The following is a 21,257-nucleotide window of genomic DNA, read 5'->3' as shown; positions in this document are numbered from 1 at the left end:
CTTGACCTGGCTGTGCTCGCATGGGAAGAGACATGCTGCATGCATTGCTGCAGATTTAAGACAGGCGCCTGGGAAGACTGAATGCCATGGGCAAGCTGCAGAGCAACTTTCTGATCAAGGAACACTGGCTTGTTCCCGAGTTCCCAAGACTCCAAGCCTCCCGGAGACCTTTGGCCAAGGGTAGGGTCACAACTCACCAAGGCGGCTCTTTTTTTTTTTTTTTTCCAAGGGAAAAAGTCTTTCTATAATACCCAGGCTGGTCTGGAACTCTTAAGCTCAAGTGATCCTCCCACCTCAGCCTCCCAAGTGGCTGGGACTACAGGTGCACACCACTGCAGCTGTGCCTGGCTTTCTTCCTAACCTTTTATCATTAATGTGAATCAGAAAGAGACCTTCATGGGTTAACTTGGATACTTTGGCCAAGAACCAAGAAGAGAAAAGCTGACTTTTAAAAACATATAATGTGTATAAATTTATTCAGGTCTACATCTATCTGAGCTACTTTCCACCCTCTATTCCAGACACACCCTGTGATCTCAATAGAATGGTGGCAATGGGTTCTTACAAGGTTGAAAGGAACAGGAAGGGATGGAACCTCAAAGCCAGACGGCCCTTTATGAGAAAAGGGGAGGCAAGCAGTCTGGATTCTTGAAAGGAAAGGAACGCTGGGGATGATTCAATCCAGGAGTAGCAAACAGTTTCCATTTCTGGCGTCAACTCCAACTGATTGATTGGGAAGCAGTTTCTTGGGACGCTTGTGTTCAGAGGAACTCTGGGGCTGTTTCTGCACCCAGCTGGAAGCAGTGCTGCATTAGATTCCTAGGGTTGCTATCACAAATTACCATAAATGTGGCAGCTTAACATGACAGAAATTTATTCTCTCACAGTTCTGGAGACCAGAAGCCTGAAATCAAGGCTCTCGCAGAACCATGCCCTCTCCAAGGCTCTAGGGGAGAATGTTTCCTTGCCTTCCCAGCTGCTGATGGCTCCCGGTGTTCCTTGGCTGATGGCAGCATCCTTCCACTCTCTGCCTCTGTTTTCCCTTGGCTTCTTCCCCTTGAGTCTCTCTGTCTTTTCTCTTACAAAGACATTAGTCATTGGATTTAGGGCTCACCCTTAAATCCAGGAAGATTTCATCTTGAGATCCTTAACTAGTTATATCTACGAAGGCTCTATTTCTAAATCAGGTCACATCCTAAGGTTCTGGATGGATATGTATTTTGGGGGGGCATTATTCAACCCAGTGAGAGTGCCATGATGGTTTAGCAAGCTTGACAGGGGTTCAGGGCTGTGCAGGGATAGGGCTCAGGTCTTCTGCCTTCTGATCTGCCATCCTGATGTAGCCCAAGCCCACAGCTTTACAGATGATGGTGGAACTGAGACTCAGACAATAAAAATAAAAGGGTCTTGACCAGTACCATATAACTATGTAATGGCACATGAGTCAAGAATAAAGAAAGATGAAGATAAAGAGGTGGGGTAGGCAGTTGGGATGGGGAAGTGTAGGGGTGGGAGGGGATGAAGATGAATATTACTGCTTTGGTTGTGGAATAACTGAGAAAAGCATCTTTGCATTTAAAACCATTGGCCAAAGAGGATCTAGATGGGACAAGAAAATAATAATCAGCCAACTGGGGAGAAAATGTAGGAGTGTTAGAAGAATTAGTACTGCACTGGGGACCAGTTTTCAGGGGATCATCTGCCCTTTTTCAGCCAAAGGAATGAGAGCTCCTCTCACTGGGCAAAAGCCTTTCCAGGCTGGTCCCTGAAAGCATCGTGCGTACAGATGCCTGCTGGTTGCCATGGTGAATGATGCTGATCTGAAGAAATGAATAATGTGAGCATTAGGGGCGGCAGTGGGATTACTCAGTGTTGAGAGAAACAACACGGAAAGCCCAGAGCAGAGGAGGGAGAAGGCCCCATTCTCTCAGCTTTAATCTACTGCACCTCGGAGGGCAGAGCTCTAACCAGACACGCTGCAAGCATCAGGTAAGACATATAGATGGCTCTTCTTGGAAATGGAAATGGCTTCTTTTCACACTCTGCTTGGAGAAGGGCCGGGCAAATGAATAGTTAAAAATAGGGGAGAATTTAGAAACGGAAACAGAGGAAGAAAAATCAATAAGGGAGACGGACCTGGTCCTAAAAGGTGAGGATGCTATTTGCGTCTTGACAGAAAGCTCTTAAAAATGTCTGCTGAGGTAATTCCATCTGTACAGACAGCTAGTGGCAGATAGGAAGCCAAGAGAACATTTGTGCGTGACAAGAAACAGGATTCCTGATTACTCCTGATGGAAAGGTTTTACACAGGTGGCTGCCTATAATGAATTAAGCTCTTTTCATCGTGGTCGAAAGTGTATTTATAGTGATGTGTGGTGTGGGGAGGATGAGTGTGTAGAGGACACCAAGCTAGGAAACATAAACATTCGGTCTCCTTCATGATGACCTTCCCTGGAAGGGTCTGAGCACATCCGTCTCATCCCTTTCGTTCCCTATTTACTGGGAAGAAATATTCAGCCACATAGAAAGACACTATTCACCTTCCTGAGTATCTTAGTTCACTGTTACCCTTACAGAAGAAAAACAAGGATTAAGAAACTACTCAATGCTGTGCACCTTTCTGCAGCTCCACTCCTGGAGGAAAATGGGCACAAACACAAGAGGATGGGGGAAAGCAGAGGTGAGAGAAAGGCAGGTCATAATAGCCATTGGTTTGGCTTAATATCCAATGCAGGCGAAAATCCAGTTGACAGCTGTTTACTATGTCACTGCAACCCAAAATGAAACCTACGGGGTTTCATGTGAGGGAGGAGAGGCGGAAGACAAAGCAGGGTGAGACTGTTATGTGAATATGCGTAGGCTGACTATGACTGTCTCTGTATTTCTGATCAGGGGCAATCAGTAGAGGGAACTGCATGAGAGAAACTAAAATACTTGAAGATGGCTCTCTCTTATCAAAGCGGGGCCTGGCAATCTAAAGAGGGCTCATTTGATTTGTCTGGAAAAACAGCAACTGGGTCTCAGTCCTGGCACCTCATTTTGCGATAACGTCTGTAACTAAACCCGGCAGCCTTGCATTAGGAAATGTAGTGGTTAGGCGGCACTAAGTCCTTTTTCTACGTATTAGCGGTGTGACATCAGGTTGCTCATCCGTAAAATGGGAATCTAGCTCAGAGGATGTGATGAAGAATAAAGGAAATTAATTACTGCCTGTGAATCATCTAGCATGACAAGTGACATAGCAACCACTTACTGTGAGTGGTTATTACCATGATTAACATTCATAATAACAGCAGAATTAAATAGTGGTAGTTATGCTGATATTAGGGGCTGATTATCTTCACCCATAAAATAAATTTCCTGGTACCGCTGGCTTTGAAAAAACAAACAAACAAAACAAGAGCAGAAGCTTTGGGGTGAGATCAGCTGCCAAAGAGTGACGAAGCGAATTTCCACTCACCATGGGCAACAGAACCAGGAGGCTAAAAAAAGCAGTGGGCAGAATGTTCTAGATCACTGAGCTCACAGTACTTGGAGCAGAAACAGGAGGTCAAGAAGGAAAATTGAGGTGAATCAATTGCCTGAGGGGAGGTCACAGACCTGAGAATAAAGGTGGAGCCTCTGAGGTTCTACTGATTTCTCCTTACCTTTTCTTCTTTTTTCTTAAGGGGATGAGAACAATCCCCTTAAGAAAATCCCCTTTGTTATCTGAAGGATCTCAGCTAGGGTGGGATGTGGCTGGGATTGCATGGGTGCATCTGTTCTTAGGCCTGAACTTTGGCATGGGACAGCCCCAGTTTTAACTTTTGTCCTGCCACTTTTTCGCTATGCCTAAATAACAGAACCTCTCGGCCTCCATTTCTTTGTCTGTAAGATGAGGGCAACATGAGTGCCCGTCTCAAATGTGCAATAAATGGTGGCTATGATTATGATAAATACATACTTAAATCAGGGGATGTCACTCTTCACTTTGATTCTGGTTCCAGAATCGGGATGAACATCGAGGTGGGGAACATTTCTTATACAGGAGCCATCATCTCCTGGTCGTCCTCGGAGCCCTGCCTGGAGGACTATTACCATATTATGTACAGGCCCAACTGGAACAGCATCTTCTCTGGCTATCTTCGCTACAGCTTCCACCACGAGGAGAAGGTGCCTCGAACGATCAGCTCCGTGGTGCTGGAACATCTTGCCCCTTCCACTCTCTACTTCCTGTGCATCAGCTGTAAGAAGGCTGCCTTCCCTTACAGGCACTACTGCACCATGTTCCACACCCTGGATAAGAGTCCGCTGGCTCCTGGAAGCTCCCTGGTAGACCCCCAGATCTCCCTTTGGGTGCTGATGGCCATTCTGCTGGCCTGCTTCACAGCCGTCTTGGCCTTCATCTGCCTCCAGTTCTGGTGTGTCCGTTGCCATGAGCCGCGATGGTCTTACAGGGCTGGCCACATGGAGGAGGCCAATGGGTTGGTGAGATGGCCAGAGGAGGCCCCGGATCTTGGTCAGAGGGAGGAAGACCTGCAGGGGCTCCCCCTGGTGGAAATGCCACGCAAGAACTCCAGAGATGGAGCTGAACTGGATCCCGAAGCCAACCAGGATGCCCCTGATGCGGGTGCCTTACAGAGGGGGGGTGGTGACCCACCCGCTATACTGCCTCATTGTGGGGAATGAGAGTGGGGAGGAGAGCGCCCGCATCATGTAGCCTAAAGCTTTCCACACAGTAGGTCGTTTGTACAAATGTGTCTATAGACTACCCATTTCTCTCCCATCAAACGTCACTGCTATTGTAGGTCACCTGGGTTGGATGAATGCCCCATGACAAAGCTTCTCAAGCTGGAAAATGTATCCCCCAGGGTATGCCAAGGCACAAACGAGGCATCTCAGCAGCAGCGTCCACTCGGAGGACACAGTTAAGAATTGAAAGCATTGTTTTAACATTAAAACAAACATGGATATGTTATAAAGTAGAAAGCAAAAATTTGCATGACAAATAAAACACAGCACTTGAAGGAAACACTTGAGTTACAAGTAGGCTCTCAGAGGTACACTTTTGGGCAAAGGTAGATGTCCAGTTTCCTCTGCCCTTGAGGGGATTATTTGGAAATAATTTGGGATTATTTGGAAATAATTTGTGAGAACCCTTGCTCTGGAGTGTTTTCCAACTTTTAGGCAATCACATACCACCGCTCTCTATTTTTTAAAACCATGGATTATCTTCACTATTATTAATAATACTTTCCTTTAAATTGACTCATTTTTTAAGCGTAAACTTATTTTCAAAGACAGCCTTATATTACTCCATAAGTGAAAAACCAGCACCCTCCTGCTGCAAACAGAAGGGAAGAGACATAAGAATAAACATCATGAAAACAAGATAATATTAAATAATCTGACTTAGCTTCTATTGCCTGCCAGTGATTCTGAGCTTAATGCCTGCTTGCTTGTCTTTGATAAAAAGGGAGATCCAGTGTTGGAGAGGTAATAAAGACATATTAGCACCAATATTTGTCTTTCTCCTTGATATAGCATAAGGTTTGAAAGAGAATCGAAAAGGGAAGTGCTGTTTTTACTTTGCGAGTCAGTGTTAGTTAAATGCCATGTCTGTGAACCACCTCAAATGCTGTCAGTCAGCTTCCCTTGATTTGAGAAAATTGTCTTGACCAGACTAGGCAGGCTGTTCTGGAGAAGACGCCTGTACTCTCCAAGCATCATCCAAGACCTTCCCAGTACCCTCTTATATCTATAGAGCACAAAATCCCAGAATCACAGGACGACACTGCAGTGAATCAACTAAGAAACAGCAGGAGCTGAGAAGCCAAGACGAGAAGCCCCACATCCCTATTCCCTTGCCTACCTCATGCATTCCCTGCTCGGCACCCAGACTTTTGCCCCCATTCCTGCTACTTGTGAACAAATAAAGATTCATATACTCACAGCTGTTTCTGCCTGGATCTTATTGCTGCCTTTTTCCTTTCTCTTTAGAGATAAGAGTCTCGCCCTGTCAGCCAGGCTGGAGCGAAGTGGTACAATCATGCTCACTGCAGCATAACACTCCTGGGCTCAAAGGATCCCCCTGCCTTAGCCTTCCAAGTAGCTACTGGTGCATGCCGCCATGTCTAGCTAATTTTTTATTTTTTATTTTTTTGGTAGAGACAGGGTCTCGCTATGTTGTCCAGGCTGTTCTCAAATTCCTGGCCTGAAGTATCCACTGGTCTCGGTCTCCTGAAGTGCTGGGATTAAAGGTATGAGCCACTGTGCCTGACCTCATTGCTGCCTTTATCTCTGCACCTTCTTACTCTTCTAATTAAGAGACACTTTTCTATTTGCTTTTTCTCACCAACCCTCTTCTAGGCAGGGTAGGGCAGGACTACTTACCTTGGATCCATAGAGGTAATAAGGCTGGACGTTGGCAGGTTTGTCTCGTTGTGGTTCTTGGGTGAAAGGAATGGCAGTCCGCACAAAACTAGTAGAAGCATAGGGATGGGAAAGAGTTAATATGGTCCTAATATTATTCTCCATGGGACACAGATAACAGGAGTGCTTCCTGGCCAGGTGAAGGTTTGCACTGGTACAAGTGCACTGTTTGTTAGGTGGTTGACTATAAAGGTACTAAACTCTTCTGACATCTTCCCATTCAACTGCCGTCTCCTTTCTATAGATGGGAAAAATTCAGTCTAGATTCCTGGGCTCAACCAGGGGCTTGTGGCTGCTCCGAATGACACTAGGCAAGAAACTAAGAGTGGACTTTCTCTAGGGCTCCACTCCTCTACCTCCAGTTTGGTTTCTCAAGAGCAGAGTTCAGCAAACTCTTTCTCAAAAGAGCCAGGCAGCAAATATTTTTAGCTTTGGAAGCCAGACGGTCTCTGTTGCAAGTACTCAACTCTGCTGTTGCAGCATGGAAGCACCCACAGACAATAATAAACAAATGAGCATGATCGAGTTCCAATAAAACTTTATCAAATACAAATCATTTTCACTTGTCACCAAATATTATTCTTCTTTGGATTTTTTCCCCTCAACCACCCAAAAGTGTGAATACTATTCTCAGCTCATGGGCTTTACAAAAACAGTCAGCAACTAGATGTGGCCTGTGAGCCACAGTTTGCTGCTCCCTGCTCAAGAGTGTTAAAGCTCCTAAATCTTTATAGAACTGGAAATCTATCTCACTTAGTGTGTGGATCCAGGTGCATTTGTGGATATCTCCCATACCCTTTCATTCATTCAACACACACTCATTCAATACTGGCCTTGAGCCAAGGCTTGGAGATACCTAGAAGATCTGCAGATGAATACATTTTTTTTGCATCCTTACATACTTATTTTGTATGTGAATATATATGCCTTACTCTTCCACTGGGTTATGAAACTTTGTGGGGATAAAGAAATTAGGTCTTGTCTCTACCTCAGTGCCTGGCCCCGGGCCGTGTGCACCTTGCAGGAGGCAAGTTCCACTTTGTCATGCGTATGTGTGCTCTGCAAATGTATGCTGTTTTGCAGGCATGCTTTCAGATACGTGGATATCCTTACAAACATACAATCTGATCATGTCATCTCCTTTCCTCAAACTCTTTCAGGGTTAATAAAAATGCACGATCCTGCCCTGGCCTGTAGAGTACTGCACAATCTGTTCCTGTGTTATCTTTCACAGCACCATTTCCCACCCGACTAGTTTTACCCTCATCAACTTCTTGGAGAAACCCTTAGAAACTTGTCTGGAATATTCTTCTCCTGCCTTTTTGCCTTATTTATTCCTAGTCATCCTTTGCATCTTAACTCCAGCATTACTTCCTCAAAGAGGAAGCCTCCGTTGAGGTTTGCATGACTTTTTGGACTGGAATAGGTGGTACTGTTACCACTGTCATGGCCCTGTGGGCTTTCCTTCATCTCCTTATTCACTGTTTGTAATGGTACATTTGTCATGTGATTGATCACCCACATCCTCCTCTAGTCTGAAGACTCAAGAGGCAGGAAGGTATCTGCTCACCATGGCATGCCCCATGTTTTACTGGAGCAGGAAAACACCCCAATGGGCAACTTCAGAGTAGCAGTAGAAAGAGCTCTTCAATGAAAGAAGACCTAATTGTTAACCACATTCAACTGTCAACCAGCTCTATGACCTTAGGCAAGTGAGACAGCACAAAGCCTGTGCCCAGGAGGGGCTCTGAGAGACACCTGTTGCAGGAACCACTCACACATGTACTGGGCCTAGTTTGGAGGAGGCAGCTGGCCACTCCCCCAACCCCCACCCGGCCCCCTCTGCACAGGGACTCCCTTACCGGTTAGTGGACCCATTGTAGCAGTAGTTGGGGAGAAAGTCAAAGTTCAGTTCCCAGAAGACATGCAGGGTGATACGGCCATAGGGGGCGGACACATTGTGATTGGCCTCTCGGAACATGGCATCGAAGCTGTCCAGCGTCATATGCTTACAGAGCAGCCGATGCGTGAGCCGGTTAATCTCCAGCAGCCACTCCAGCTCCTGTACAGAGAGAGAGCCCACAACTGCTGAGGACTTGCTTGTAAGCATTACATGTGTGTGTTTTATCTTACTGCTTCTGTTCACGCAAGTGACAGCTGCTCAGACAACCTCCTGGCCATCTACATGGGAACTAGGACCCTTACAGTAGCAGGTGACAAGGTTCCCTTCTGAGAAGTGGAAGGATTGTCAGACTACGCTGACAGAAATGGAGGCCCAGAAGGTTAAGGGCAAGGTAGGGGAAGGGGAGGTTGCACGCCTACCCCCTGGAAGGAGACCATAGACCATGTGCAAATCCCTTTTGGGTAGAGAACAAGCTTACTTGCTTTCCAGTTTCTATGTTGGTGAGAAAAAAGCAATACTAAGAGCTACCACTAATTAAGGGTTTACTATTAGGTTGAACCCTATGACGTTACTTGTTTTTTAGGGCCAAATATTGGCAATTTTGCCTGGTTCAACCAAATTAGTATGTGCCAGTTTTATATGTGTCAACTTGTTTAATGCTTATCAAACCCTATGAGGTCAGTATTGCTGCCATTCTTATTTTATACATATGGAAACCGAGGCTTTGAGAAGTTAAGTAACTTGACTTCAAATCCAGGAAACTGGGCTCCCAAGTGCACATTCTTAACCACTATATGCTCTAACTGCTATAGAAGTTTTAAAAAGAGGTGGGAGCAGAATGCCTCATCCTTTGGAGTGTAGGCCCCTTGAGGTATCACATGGGGTTGGCAAAGGCGTGGCTACAAGCCATGGGCAAGCAGTCTGCAGTCTGCAGTCAGCTCATGATGACCGGGATCTATGTGCACTGTGGGCCCTGAACGAAGGAAACCCATCTTCAGGCAAAGTGGGACAGAGTATCTGCACACAGCAGGACATGGCATTTGTTGGGAAATGAAAGAAGAGTGTAACTCTTTCAACACGCTTTGGACTCTCATTGTCCTGCAACTTCCCCGCCACTGCTATCAAAAGGAATCAAAGTACAGTCTTATGTAGAGACAGAAAGCACCTTAGGCCACTCCTGTGCTGTTTTGGTTAAGCCATCTTTTAGGATCGGTACAATGGTCCCTCATTCAGAGAGGGGAAATTGAGGCCCTGAAGGTTAAGTAACTTGCCCAAGGTCACCATAAGAGGCCTTAGGATGTGAATCCAAGTCTCCTTATTCCAAATCATGTGTTCTTGGTCCCTGTGACACAGTTCCCTGGAACAAGGATGCAAGAGCTGTGAAAGTCCTTTGAAAGGCAAAGATGGCTTTACAGCATAAAGGCTAAAAGAACATCGGCAAGGCCAATTCATCAGAGCATGGCCGGGTGGGATGACCATAGGGTCGGCTGTAATGGCTGGAATATGTCCACAGGAGGCAGCCTCATGCCAAGGATTCAATTTCATTCTCATTAGCCACAAAGACCCCTAGATGGAGACCAGAGCATGGTCAGGTGGAGATCCCAGGCTATGCTTCCAATTTTTGGAGCTCTGCCTCTCTGAAACTCAGATTCTGTGGCTCTAAGTTGAAGTGTGCAGAAATGGTTGAAGGCTTGCAAACACACATGGCTAAAGAGACCAGACAGGTCAGGTAAGTGAGATCAACTGGGGTGAAGAGAAAGTTTGGGGAGTGGGTCCATCTATGGCAAATTGGATGTCCCTGCCCAGGTAAAGGTGGAGCTGCTACTTCTGATACCCCGTCTGACCGCTGCCATGTTGGAGTGGGGGATTAGTGATGGCAAATCCTGCAATTTTTCAAAAGAAGGTCAGAATTTCAATTCTGGAACAGCATCGGAGGAATAAGTTTCCAGTCATTGTGTACCATGAAGTAAATGAAGGGCGGAAATACAGAATCAGCTTTCTGATTCTGTCTCTTGGGGGCCTGGCTAGCTGGAATATGTCTTTATTCTGATTCACTTAGGATGGGTACTAAATAAATAAAAAATACATGGAGTAAGTGGCGCTGAGTTTATTTCTAAGATCACTGAGTCCCCTGGCACACTGTGGTGCCTTGTTACTGGGAAGACAACTGAGAAGCTGGGGAACAATTTCTGTGTTATCGTTCTGTGACTTCAGCAGTCTCACAACATACATCCGTGTTCACAAGGGAAACTGAAGGAGAGGCAGAGGCTGCTGCAACCACAGGTCCACTTCTCCCTGCACAGTATGTAACCCAGACGATATTTCTGCAACACATTTCGGATTTGTTCTTCTGGCCTTGAAACCAGAAGAGGGCATGTGCCAGCTGGATGCAGGGCTCAACGCACCAAAGCATGGAAAAGGCTTAAAAAGCCATGTGGGCAGTTTAGGGGTCTCCTAAGAGGATGACACTTTTCCACAGCAAGGCTGGTTTACTAAAGGGCAACACAGAGAAACAGAACTGGGGCAGTAAAACACCCCAGTGGGCAACTTCAGAGTAGTGGGAGAAAGAGCTCATCAACGAAAGAAGACCTGATTGTTAACCACATTCAACTGTCAACCAGCTCTGTGGCCTCAGGCAAGTGAGAGAGCAAAGGTCTCAAACTCAGTACAGTGAGGCCTCGTAGGTCACACACATAAATGAAGCCTGCCACTGAGGCTGTGGCAAGCTGAAGAAAGTGTAGCCCATCTCACAGGAACTTCTAGTCATTTATGGGCAATCGTTACCATCTGGGAATGCTGGTCTGGCATTGCCAGAGCTTCTGCAGTTTTATTTGATTTCTTCCAAATGTTAAACATTGGCTCAAAATTACAAATGTACTATGCTGCCTAAACAAAACACAGCCTGCGGGCTGCCCGTTCTCAACTTCAGCATCGGGTCTTGCTGAGACTCTGTTTGCTCAGCTGTGTAAAATGAGGGTGACTAACTCCCCAAATCTTTGCAACCTCTCCCAACTCAGAATCAAGTTGCCTCCCCATCTCAGAATGGAGTTTTTCAGGTGGAGGGAAAGGCTGAGGGGAGCTCATTCCTCATTTTGTTTCTTGGAGGAGGTAGAAGCTTCTCAGCCAGGGCGAGCAGGGGCCATCCAGACCCATCGGAGAGCGCTTCCCTGAGGTCTCTTCATGGGCTTCCCAGGAACTGGTGTTCTCTGGGGAGCCACTGCCCTCGCCTGATAAGCAAGGGCTTTCACTGCTTGTTTTGATTTTGTTCCCAGCTAAAAGAACATTTAGTGCTTTTGGACAGGTGGGAAGAGGCCATGGAGACACACATATCCCAAATCTTTTTTTTCCCATAAGATATGCTCATTATTGGAAAACTAGAAGATACAGATAAACAAAAAAGAAAAAAAAATCCCGCCACTTGGAGCTAATCACTGCTAACCATTTGGCATAAAGAATAACTCTGTTTCTCAAAATAGAGGTGACCAAATGATTTCTCAGAAAAATGTGTGCTGTACTACAGTCTCCTGGAGTAAGTGACCCAGGACTTAGGTGGGTGGGTAGGTCAAGCCCTAAGAAATCACCCAAAATCACTGCATTGCAGCCCCAAATTTATTTTTCTCTCATCTTTTTTCCATAAGCTATTATTTATTAAGTGCTAACTATGTATACAAAAGACTCTTGGGAGGCCAAGGCAGGCAGATCACGAGGTCAGGAGCTTGAGACCAGCCTGGCCAACATAGTGAAACCCCATCTCTACTAAAAATACAAAAATTAGGTGGGCCTGGTGGCACATGCCTGTAGTCCCAGCTACTCAGGAGGCTGAGGCAGGAGAATTGCTTGAACCCTGGAGGCAGAGGTTGCAGTGAGCTGAGATCACGCCACTGCACTACAGCCTAGGCAACAGAGCAAGACTCCGTCTCAAAAGAAAACAAAACAAAAACAAACAAACAAAAAAACAGGTAGTATCTCATTTTATCCTTATAGTAACCCTAAGAGGTGGATTCTGATATTCCCTCCATTTCTATAGATAAGGAAACAGGCTTGGAGAAGCTGAGTAACTTGCACAAGATCACACAGCTAGTAAGTAGCAGGGAGAGGACTGGGACCCTAGGTATGATGTTAGAGTCCCAGTTCACTGTCACTTTATTTTTATACTTTGTCCACTTAAAATAAAAACCAACTTTATTTAAAAATAATGTTAGACTTACAGAAAAGTTGTAAAAACAGCATACCCTGCATATCCTTTACCCAGCTTCCCCACTGTTAACATCTGGCGGAACCATAGTGCAATCATCAAATGAAGGAAATTAACTTTGGTACAACACTATTAGCTGAATGACAGGCTTTATTCAGGTTTCACCAGTTTTCCCACTAAAGTCCTTTTTCTGTTCTAAGATTCAATCTAGGATTCCATGTTGCATTTAGTTGTCAGGTTCCCTTATTCTTTCCTAATTTGTAACAGTTTTCAGTCTTTCCTGTCTCTCAAGACCTGCGCACTTTTGAAAAGTATCATTCACTTTTTTTTTTTTAAATGGAACTCGATTTGGGTTCATCTGATATTTTCTCATAATTAGATTGAGATTGTGCATTTTGGCAAGAATATATGTTGATAACAATAATATGTCTTACTGGTAATATTAACTTTGATACTTGGTTAAGATGGTGTCTGCTAATTTTCTCCATTGTAGAGTCATTCTTCCCTTTGTAATTAATAAACATCTTGGGGGAGATACTTTGAGACTATGCAAGTATCCTATTTCTTCTCAAAGATTTTTTGGTTAAAAAAATTTTGTTATTGTGGTAAGATGTACATAAAATTGAACATTTTAACCATTTGTAGGTGTACTGCGGCATTACGTACATTCACATGGTTGTGCAACTATCAGCACCATCCTTTTCTAGAAGTGAAACTCACCTTCTCCAACTGAAACTCTGTATCCATCAAACACCATCTTCCTCTTCCCTGGCAACCTACCCTATGTCTCCATGAATTTGCCTACTGTAGGAACCTCATATAAGAGAAATCATGCAGTATTTTTCTCAAAGTTCTGCCCACTTATTTTAGCAACCATTGACAGATCTTGCCTACAATTTTTATTATGTTCTAACGGTGATTTTCCATTTCCCACTCCTTCTGTTCATTCGCTTTTGAAGGCACTGAAATCTTCCTTTGATTCACTGAAAGAACAACCAGTCAAGTTTACTCTAATTCTTGAAGAGAGAGAATTAGCAGAGAGTCGTTTTAATTGCTGTTTTCTGGGAGAAAGGAGTAGGCCTATTCCAGGCTTGTGCATCAGAACCAGTTACATAATCTGCAGGGTGCAATGTTTAATGAAAATGTGGGGCCCCCTTGTTTAAGAATTTCAAGATAGTGAAGCAGAATGGTAAACCAGCTGCAAAGCCCTTCTGGGCCTTATACTACTGCACACCTGTGAAGCCAACCCTCTTGTGCAATTTTCCCTAGCTTCTTAGGACCCCTCACCTACTTGCTCAGCCTGCAGGATCCTAAGGACATGCAGCTGTGTCTGAGGGTTGGCCATCTCTAGAAATCTCAAGGAGACCCCCTCCATGCTATCGTTCCCAAGGCAATCAGGAACGTAAGATTACTCTTATTCTGTGTAAGTTTTTCTTTCCCAGCTCCATTCAGATGGGAAAGAGACTCACTGCCCCTCTTTAACTGGCCCAGCACTAGACTAACTACAGTCCCCATCTAGGCTTCTAGTCTGAGAAATCACAGAGCAGAAATCCCACACGCTCCCAGACTCTTACCACAATGGAGGTCAGGTCCTCACTCTCAAAGCGGCTGATAGCTTGGTCCAAGGATTTATACATGGCGGCAGAGATGCGCTGGGTAATGAGTCTGTTCAAGTCAATTGATCTACCCAACAGCTGGATGAAGAGAGAGAGAGAAAAGTTACTTAAAATTCACACTGGCCAGGTGCAGTGGCTCATGCCTGTAATCCCAGCACTTTGGGGGACCAAGGTGGGAGTGAGACTGCCAGGTGGGAGGGGTTTCCTGGAGAAACTCCAACCAGCCTGTCCATTGAGGTGGAGCCTCGGGAAGTTTATGATGTTTGCAGCAGGGAGGAGCCTGGCCCCTCCTCTTCTTGTGTGGAACCTGGGATTCCAACGGCCTGGCGGGAAGCTCTCTAGCTGAGGGACTCTGGCCTTGTGAGAGTCCCTGTTTCCCTCCTTTTTTTCCCTTTTCACCCAATTAAACCCTGCTTTACCTACCCTTTAAACAGTCTGCAAGCCTAATTTTTCATGGTCATGGGACAGACAAGAACCCCATCTTTAGCTGAACTGAGAAAAAGTCCTGCAACAGGAGGATAGCTTGAACCCAGGAGTTTGACACCAGCATGGGCAACACAGTAAGAATCTGTCTCTACAAAAAATAAAAAAAATTAGCCAGGTGTGGTGGTGTACGCCTGTAGTCCTAGCTACTTGGGAGGCTGGAGGTGGGAAGATAGCTTGAGCCCAAGAGTTTGTGGCTGCAGTGAGCTATGACTGTGCCACTGCACTCCAGCCTGAGCGACAGAAAGAGACCCTGTCTCTTAAAAAATAAATAAAGATTCGCGCTGACACCTGACAACTACGTGCATGCACCGATAAGAAACTGGATTAAAATTACAAAGGACATAACTGGGACGAATGGGAACTGTATTTAGAAAGTAGTATTGTCAAATTTCCTGAGTATCATCATTCTATTCTGTTTTTATAAGACAACGTCCTTGTTCTTAGGAGATATAGGCTGAAGCATTCAGGGGTGAAATGTCATGATTTGGCAACTTAAACTCTCAAATAGTTAAGAACAAAAGTATGTATATTCATCCCCCACACACAAACATACGCACTGTATAAGTGCTAGAGAGAAAATACATACATGAGAGAAAGAATGTGAACTAAATATGGTAAAACATTAATAATTGCAAATCTGGCTAGGGGATAAATAAGTGTTTATCGTATTATTCTTTCAACTTCCCTGTAGGCTTGAAACACAGGAAGTTTAGGAAAAATACGATTCACTCAGGCTGTGGGAAGAGGTTCAGGGTAGGCTCTGGCTTCCCATAAGTGTTTCTGCTGACATCCCAAATTTAGCCCTGGGGTTCTTTCTGCCATCTTTCTTGCACTCAATTCAGTCACCAGGGCACAGCAGCTGCCTCAGCAAGGGCCCACATTGTGCCTTCATGAGGGAAAATTTAAAAGCAAGAGGATGAAGGTCTGATTACAGAATGGAAAATATAACTTAAGGTACTTTCCACTGGGGTACACGCGGGCATTACTGCAGCTGCTATGTAGATAGCAATGAACATTTGTTGAGTACCTGCTGTGTCCACAGCACTTTGCTAGGTGTCAAATGATTATTCTTAACTATTTTATTTTTCAACTTCTCTTTTGGCATCAATTTTCTACCAACTGACCAGGGCCCCTTATAGCCATCTTATGCACACATAAAGCCCTCAGTATTTAATATCCTGTGGCTAATTCTGGCTGCATTGTAACCGATAGCAGTAATCTTCTGAAAGGGTGAAAGAAAAGCTCTCATTGAGCCCCTGTTGTTGACAGAAGTACAAATTCTATTTTTCCCCCCTCTTAATGATTCTCCATCTCCCTTGGATTTCTCATAGTAATGGGAATGTCCAGGGTTTCTGAGATGAATTCTTTCCTTTTCACCTCTGGCATGATCTTAGCCTCAGCCTGGCCCTTTCACAAAGACCAGGACCACATAATAAGCACACAGACGTCACAGCATAAAGGCCATTTTGCCACCCGCTTGGCCAACAGCAGGGCTGTAGGAGGAGGGCTCGACATCTGCTGGGGCATCTCTTATGCTGTCTGTCTGCCTCACATTAATATTATTAAATGGGGATGTTTCTCAGTTCCCAGCAACATCTCCTCTACATATAGGGTCAAATGTTAATAGAAACCAACTCTGCACACAAAAAACCCAATTTCTACCGTGGATTTGCCCTGACATGCTTTCATTTCAAAGGCGCCACAGTCTTCCTCACTTAGACCGGCACTTGGGCCCTGTTCAGGGACAGATTTACCCATCTCTAAGTGGCAGTCCCAGCTGAAAAAAGTGGGCTGCAGGTTATGATGAGAAGACAAAGGCTTTGGTTGCCATAACTTGTCAGAGGTTGGCTATAGATGGGTGGAGAAGCCCAGAACTTGAGCCAAAGGAAGCCCAATGCCTCTTTATTGTTTATGAGATCCTGAGGCTGTGCTACACCCAGGCTCGGAAATCCACACTGGCAACATGCCGGGCAGACAATACCCAGGCCTGATTTCTGATCTCTATGCTAACTTCGCAGCTGCTCTCTCCTGCCCCTTCCATCTCCAAGGTGGCTTCTGCTCCCCATACCTGGACGTGTCTCTGCTTCAGCAGTGTTTCATAGCGATTGGACGGTGGATACGGAATGATGACGCCATAATTCTTACACTCAGCTCGAAAACGTTTATCCAACAGGACACTGCAAGGAATAAAAGTGAAACAAGGCCAGTAAACAGATTGTGAATGACTCTCAACTGCCCAGATACATCTATTTCAGATCATAGGATCTACCCACAGAGCACTATCTTATATAACTTAAGTAAAATTGTTTTCTGCTCTAGACAAGTTACGTCAAATTTCTTTTCAGTCACAGAAGCTCAATATGTGAAACAGAGTTTCTAAGTTAAAGATGGGCAACACAGAAGTTGAGCCACTTTCCTCTTTTATTCATTTACTGCAAAAGCAATTGAGTGCCTGCTTGGTGTATCCCAGGAAACATTCTGGGTACTGGGAATACAAAGTTCCTGTCCTCATGGAGTTTATATTCGAGTGAGGAAAGACTGATAATATAAACACAAACAGAGGAATGGAATAATTTCAGATAATAGGTAACAGTTGCATAGTGTTTATTATTTCCCAGGCACTTTAAACACAAACACACACACACACACACACACACACACACACACACACACACACATTTTAAATCTCACCACAACCCTATGAGCTGAGAGTGTTACTATCTTTCACACTGAGGCATGGATTGCAGAGGAGAAGTGCTTTGAAAATAAGAAAATGGGATCATTTGGAGTTAGGAAGTCCAAAGTCTCTCTAAAGAAGTTTTGCTAAACAGAGACCTGAATGATAAAATTGGAAAGATCTAAGGGAACACTATCATTTACACAACAAGCTTGGTTACATTTAAGAAAAGGAAAGATGGCCAGTGTGGATAAAGTATAGTGCAGGTTGGAGAGCATGGTGCAAAATGAATTTATAACATGAGACCAGGGCCAAACCAGGTAGGGCCACACAGGCCATAGTAAAGTGGCTAGGTGTATTCTAGACATAACTAAAAGGCACCAAAAGGTTTTACGCAAGAAAGAGACACCATCTATATTTACACTGTCCAAAGTAGTAGCCACCAGCCACATGTGCCTACTGAACACTTGAGATGTGGCTGGTCCAAATTGAGATGGGCTGTAAACAGGATTTTGAGGACTTAGAAGAAAAGAATGAAAAATCTCTAATAATGTCTATATTGAGTGTATGTCAAAATTATAATGTTTTGGATATGTGGGGTTAAATAAAATATATTATTAAAATTAATTTCATCTGCTTCTTTTTCCTTTTTAAAATATGTCTGCTAAAAAATTTAAAATAACATCTCTGGCTCATATTTGTGGCCACATGGCATTTTGAATGAACAGGACTGACCTAGCTCATGGTTTTCTTCCTGGGCTTTCCCTGAATCTCTCAACCTCCTCAACTTCCCACACTTTAAAAAATCACTGATCTTACAGGGAAGGGTGTAGATAAAAGCCCATATGTCTGAAGAAGGAAGACCCAGGGTTCGACACGCCTGAGTCTGTTTATATAGATGATGGAACAGTGTATTTGGAATCAGAATTGTCTTACAGAAGCCAGAAACTCAACTCACTGTTAGAACCACATCCCATTCAATCCACAGATGCCTATTGACTACTTTGTGAAAGGCTGTGTTCTCTGCTTTCCTTGAAATCCTACGTGCATGCTTTCAATACTTTACAGCATTTAAGAGTCGCGTTATTTAATGCACATCCTGTGTTAACAGACACTTGTGTGTGCTGCACATCAACTCCTCTTTGAAATATATCAGGGCTACTTTGGCTGTTAAAAGCAAAATGAAGCAAATCCTTTTCATAGAAAAATTATTAAAGTAAGGAACTATCCTTGAAATTACTGGTTGGTATGTTTGGATTTCCAATAAGAAAGGAAATACCTATATATAAAATTTGAGGTTTTCCTCGATCAATGCTGTTACAGGTCCTTGAAACCCAAGAACTCACGAGGGTCTGAATCAACATATACTGGCAATACCAAGGAGCCTCTAAAGCTTGATACATCTCTGATCCAGACTTCTTCACTGGCCTCCTGTCTGGTTTGCACACACCCATTCCTCTCCAATTCATTCTCCATACATTTATATTTTTAAGAGAGTAAACTTTCAAAAGTAAATAAAAATCGAATCGGGTCACGGTTGTACTTTTGAAACCATTCGGAGGCATTCCACTCCCGGGAGAAACAGCTACAAAGCTGGTGTGCTCTGGCCCTGCCCACTCCCCAGCCTTAGCATGCAGCTTGCCCCCTCTAGTGGTGGTGAAGAGACACTGACATGTATTAATCCACAGGAATCCTCCCACAGCCCTGTGAAGTTGGCATGCTGTTATCATCATACTCCCACCGCAGGGTCCTTGCACAAGCAGTTCCTTTTGCCTGCAACGTCCTGCCCCATCCTTCACCTCGTTTTACTTCCTTCACTCCTACCAACTTCAGATAAGAACTCAGATGCCACTTCCGCAAGATGGCCTTTCTAGTTCCCCGCCCCCAAAGGTTTAACCATCGTACATTCCCATGAGCTTTTCCCTCACAGACAGCATGTAACCTCCTTGTCACTGTGCATTCATCGGCTTTTAGTCGATGTCTGTCTTTCCTGCTGGACTGCAGGCTGTGTGAGGTTAGCCCTTTATCTGCCTAGTTTCCTTTCCACTCTATCTCAGCACCCAGTCCGGGTCCGTGGAATGGCTCTGTTTTCCTAAGGTGCTAAAGAAGAAGGGAGGTTTCACAACAGAAAATCATGTCTTCTAGGTGGCAGTCTTAAGAGATTGCTACTCACAGCTCTGGGGCTTTCCTACCTGCCAGCCATGGCTTTGTAGTAAGCAAAGATCTGGTCTGCCAGCTTGTAGACAAACTGATCAAAACACAGGTTCACCTGGTGGAGAGGAAGCAGGAAACATCACTGGTGCCCGTTCAGCTTTATGACAGAAACTGAGCCAACTGAAAGACAGCAGTCAGGCAGGATTGCCCAGAGTGCATTCTGGGGAAAGACGCTTTGAAGGGGAAAAATATTCTGTGGCTAAGTTTGGGAGATTTGGTCCCTTGCTCTCAGGGTCCTCAGTCAGTGAACAGACAAGTCAAAGTTCAAAAAGGACCCAATCTCCCCACGGCCCCTCTCCTCAGCTGTTTCGAGGCCGCCTGCCTGGAGGGATGCAACAGACAGACTGTCAGAACCCATCAGTGCTCAAATTCGTCCGCTAACTCGGCAGCCTCCCCATCCATCTCTTCAGATGGATGTTATTTTCATTGTATTTTTCTTTGATTTGCAATTTTTTTTTTTTTTGAGACAGAGTCTTGCTCTGTCACCTAGGCTGGAGTGCAGTGGTGTGATCTCGGCTCACTGCAACCTCCGCCTCCCGGGTTCAAGTGATTCTCATCCTTCAGCCTCCCAAGTAGCTGGGATTACAGGCACCCACCACCATGCCTGGCTAATTTTTGTATTTTTAGTAGAGACGGGGTTTCACCATGTTGGCCAGGTTGGTCTCGAACTTCTGACCTCAGGTGATCCACCCACCTTGGCCTCCCAAAGTGCTAGGATTACAGGCATGAGCCACCACATGTGGCCACAAATTTGTTTATGAAGTTGATAGTCACATTTAAAAGCGCCTTCCTTCAAACTTTGCTTACATAACTTTGGTTTTTAATGAATAAAGTCTTGCCATTTCAGGGTCTCATCATCAGTGATAGACTGTGATGCTCAGGTGGGAAGATAATTCACACAGACATGAAGAATCAAACCAAATATTTCAGAAATGGCAAGAGCAGGACATGACCATGAGATGGGGCAAAGGCAGTAGCTAGGTAAGAGTCAAAGGAAACAGATCCTATTTACTGTCAGATTTAATATTTTAAGTCTTTCATGTTTAATATTTATGTGATTAACCTTTGGTCCTTTTTTCACCAGACTCTTGGCTCCATAAGGTTAATGATTCAAAAAGCTTTCAGATCTTTCATCTCACACCCTACGTGGTATGCAGAACACAAAACCCCAGCGCTGTGTTTAGTGCTTTCCTCAGACCCAGGTCACCGAGGCCTCTGACCTGCACTTTGAGCTTCAAGGGTCATCAGCGGACCTCCCTCCAGGCAAAGAATCCATAAGGTCAAGGTGGGCGTGTGCACTCAGGCCCCATTCTCCCCTTCTAGAACCAGTTCTGAGAAGCCTTCTACAGGCGGCTCAAGCCTCTTCCAGGGCCACGTGCTCTCTTCCCTGGCTTCCCCTCTGAGGGTGGACTCCACTATGGGTGTGTGTGACCCTAGGGTTTAGGTCTAGCCAAGGGCCACTGTTTTTGAGCAGAGTTGGCAGGCAGAGCTTGGGTATTTATACACATGCACATGAAGCCCTTCATGGTGCAGCACAGAGTTTGTGGGTGGGAAGAGAAAGGCAGCAGGCCCTGAGCTGGGTGTCTCAGTTTGTACTTCTGCCCTCAGAGGTTACACAGGCCTTCTGATGGCCATGGTTACAGAGATTCCTCTCCAGAACAAGTCACTGATACTCCTACTTCATGCTAATAGCAAAAGACTGGAAAAGTCCGGAATTTGGAACAAGATTAAAGGAGCAAAAAGAGAAGCACATCA

The 21,257-nt window shown here is 44.9% G+C and overlaps 2 protein-coding genes across 9 annotated transcripts in view; one reads left to right on the top strand and one right to left on the bottom strand.

Moving 5' to 3' along the window:
- Positions 1 to 21,257, bottom strand: part of CYFIP2 (cytoplasmic FMR1 interacting protein 2) — a 129,472-nt gene that overhangs the window by 48,065 nt on the left and 60,150 nt on the right. For all 8 annotated transcript variants that reach the window (XM_011534516.4, NM_001291722.2, NM_001037333.3 and 5 more), the window contains 5 exons: positions 19,481 to 19,557; positions 16,680 to 16,788; positions 14,084 to 14,203; positions 8,274 to 8,473; positions 6,373 to 6,460 (listed from right to left, as the gene is read on the bottom strand). In XM_011534516.4, the coding sequence (XP_011532818.1) occupies positions 6,373 to 6,460; positions 8,274 to 8,473; positions 14,084 to 14,203; positions 16,680 to 16,788; positions 19,481 to 19,557 (594 nt within the window). The remainder of the gene's footprint in view (positions 1 to 6,372; positions 6,461 to 8,273; positions 8,474 to 14,083; positions 14,204 to 16,679; positions 16,789 to 19,480; positions 19,558 to 21,257) is intronic.
- On the top strand, positions 1,853 to 5,932 carry FNDC9 (fibronectin type III domain containing 9). The gene is made up of 2 exons (NM_001001343.4): positions 1,853 to 1,989; positions 3,987 to 5,932. Exon 2 carries the CDS (start codon positions 3,994 to 3,996, stop codon positions 4,666 to 4,668), a length of 675 nt encoding a protein of 224 aa, NP_001001343.2. The 5' UTR covers positions 1,853 to 1,989; positions 3,987 to 3,993; the 3' UTR covers positions 4,669 to 5,932.

This window comes from Homo sapiens, chromosome 5 (genome assembly GCF_000001405.40).
Source record: "Homo sapiens chromosome 5, GRCh38.p14 Primary Assembly".
In the NCBI taxonomy this organism is placed as follows: domain Eukaryota; kingdom Metazoa; phylum Chordata; class Mammalia; order Primates; family Hominidae; genus Homo; species Homo sapiens.
The sequence above is the reverse complement of the archived record's forward strand: the minus strand, read 5'-3'. Positions and strand labels throughout refer to the sequence as shown.

Bases quoted from the DNA above. Each gene is read 5' to 3' on its own strand.
- FNDC9 (NM_001001343.4), top strand. From the start codon at position 3,994: ATGAACATCGAGGTGGGGAACATTTCTTATACAGGAGCCATCATCTCC.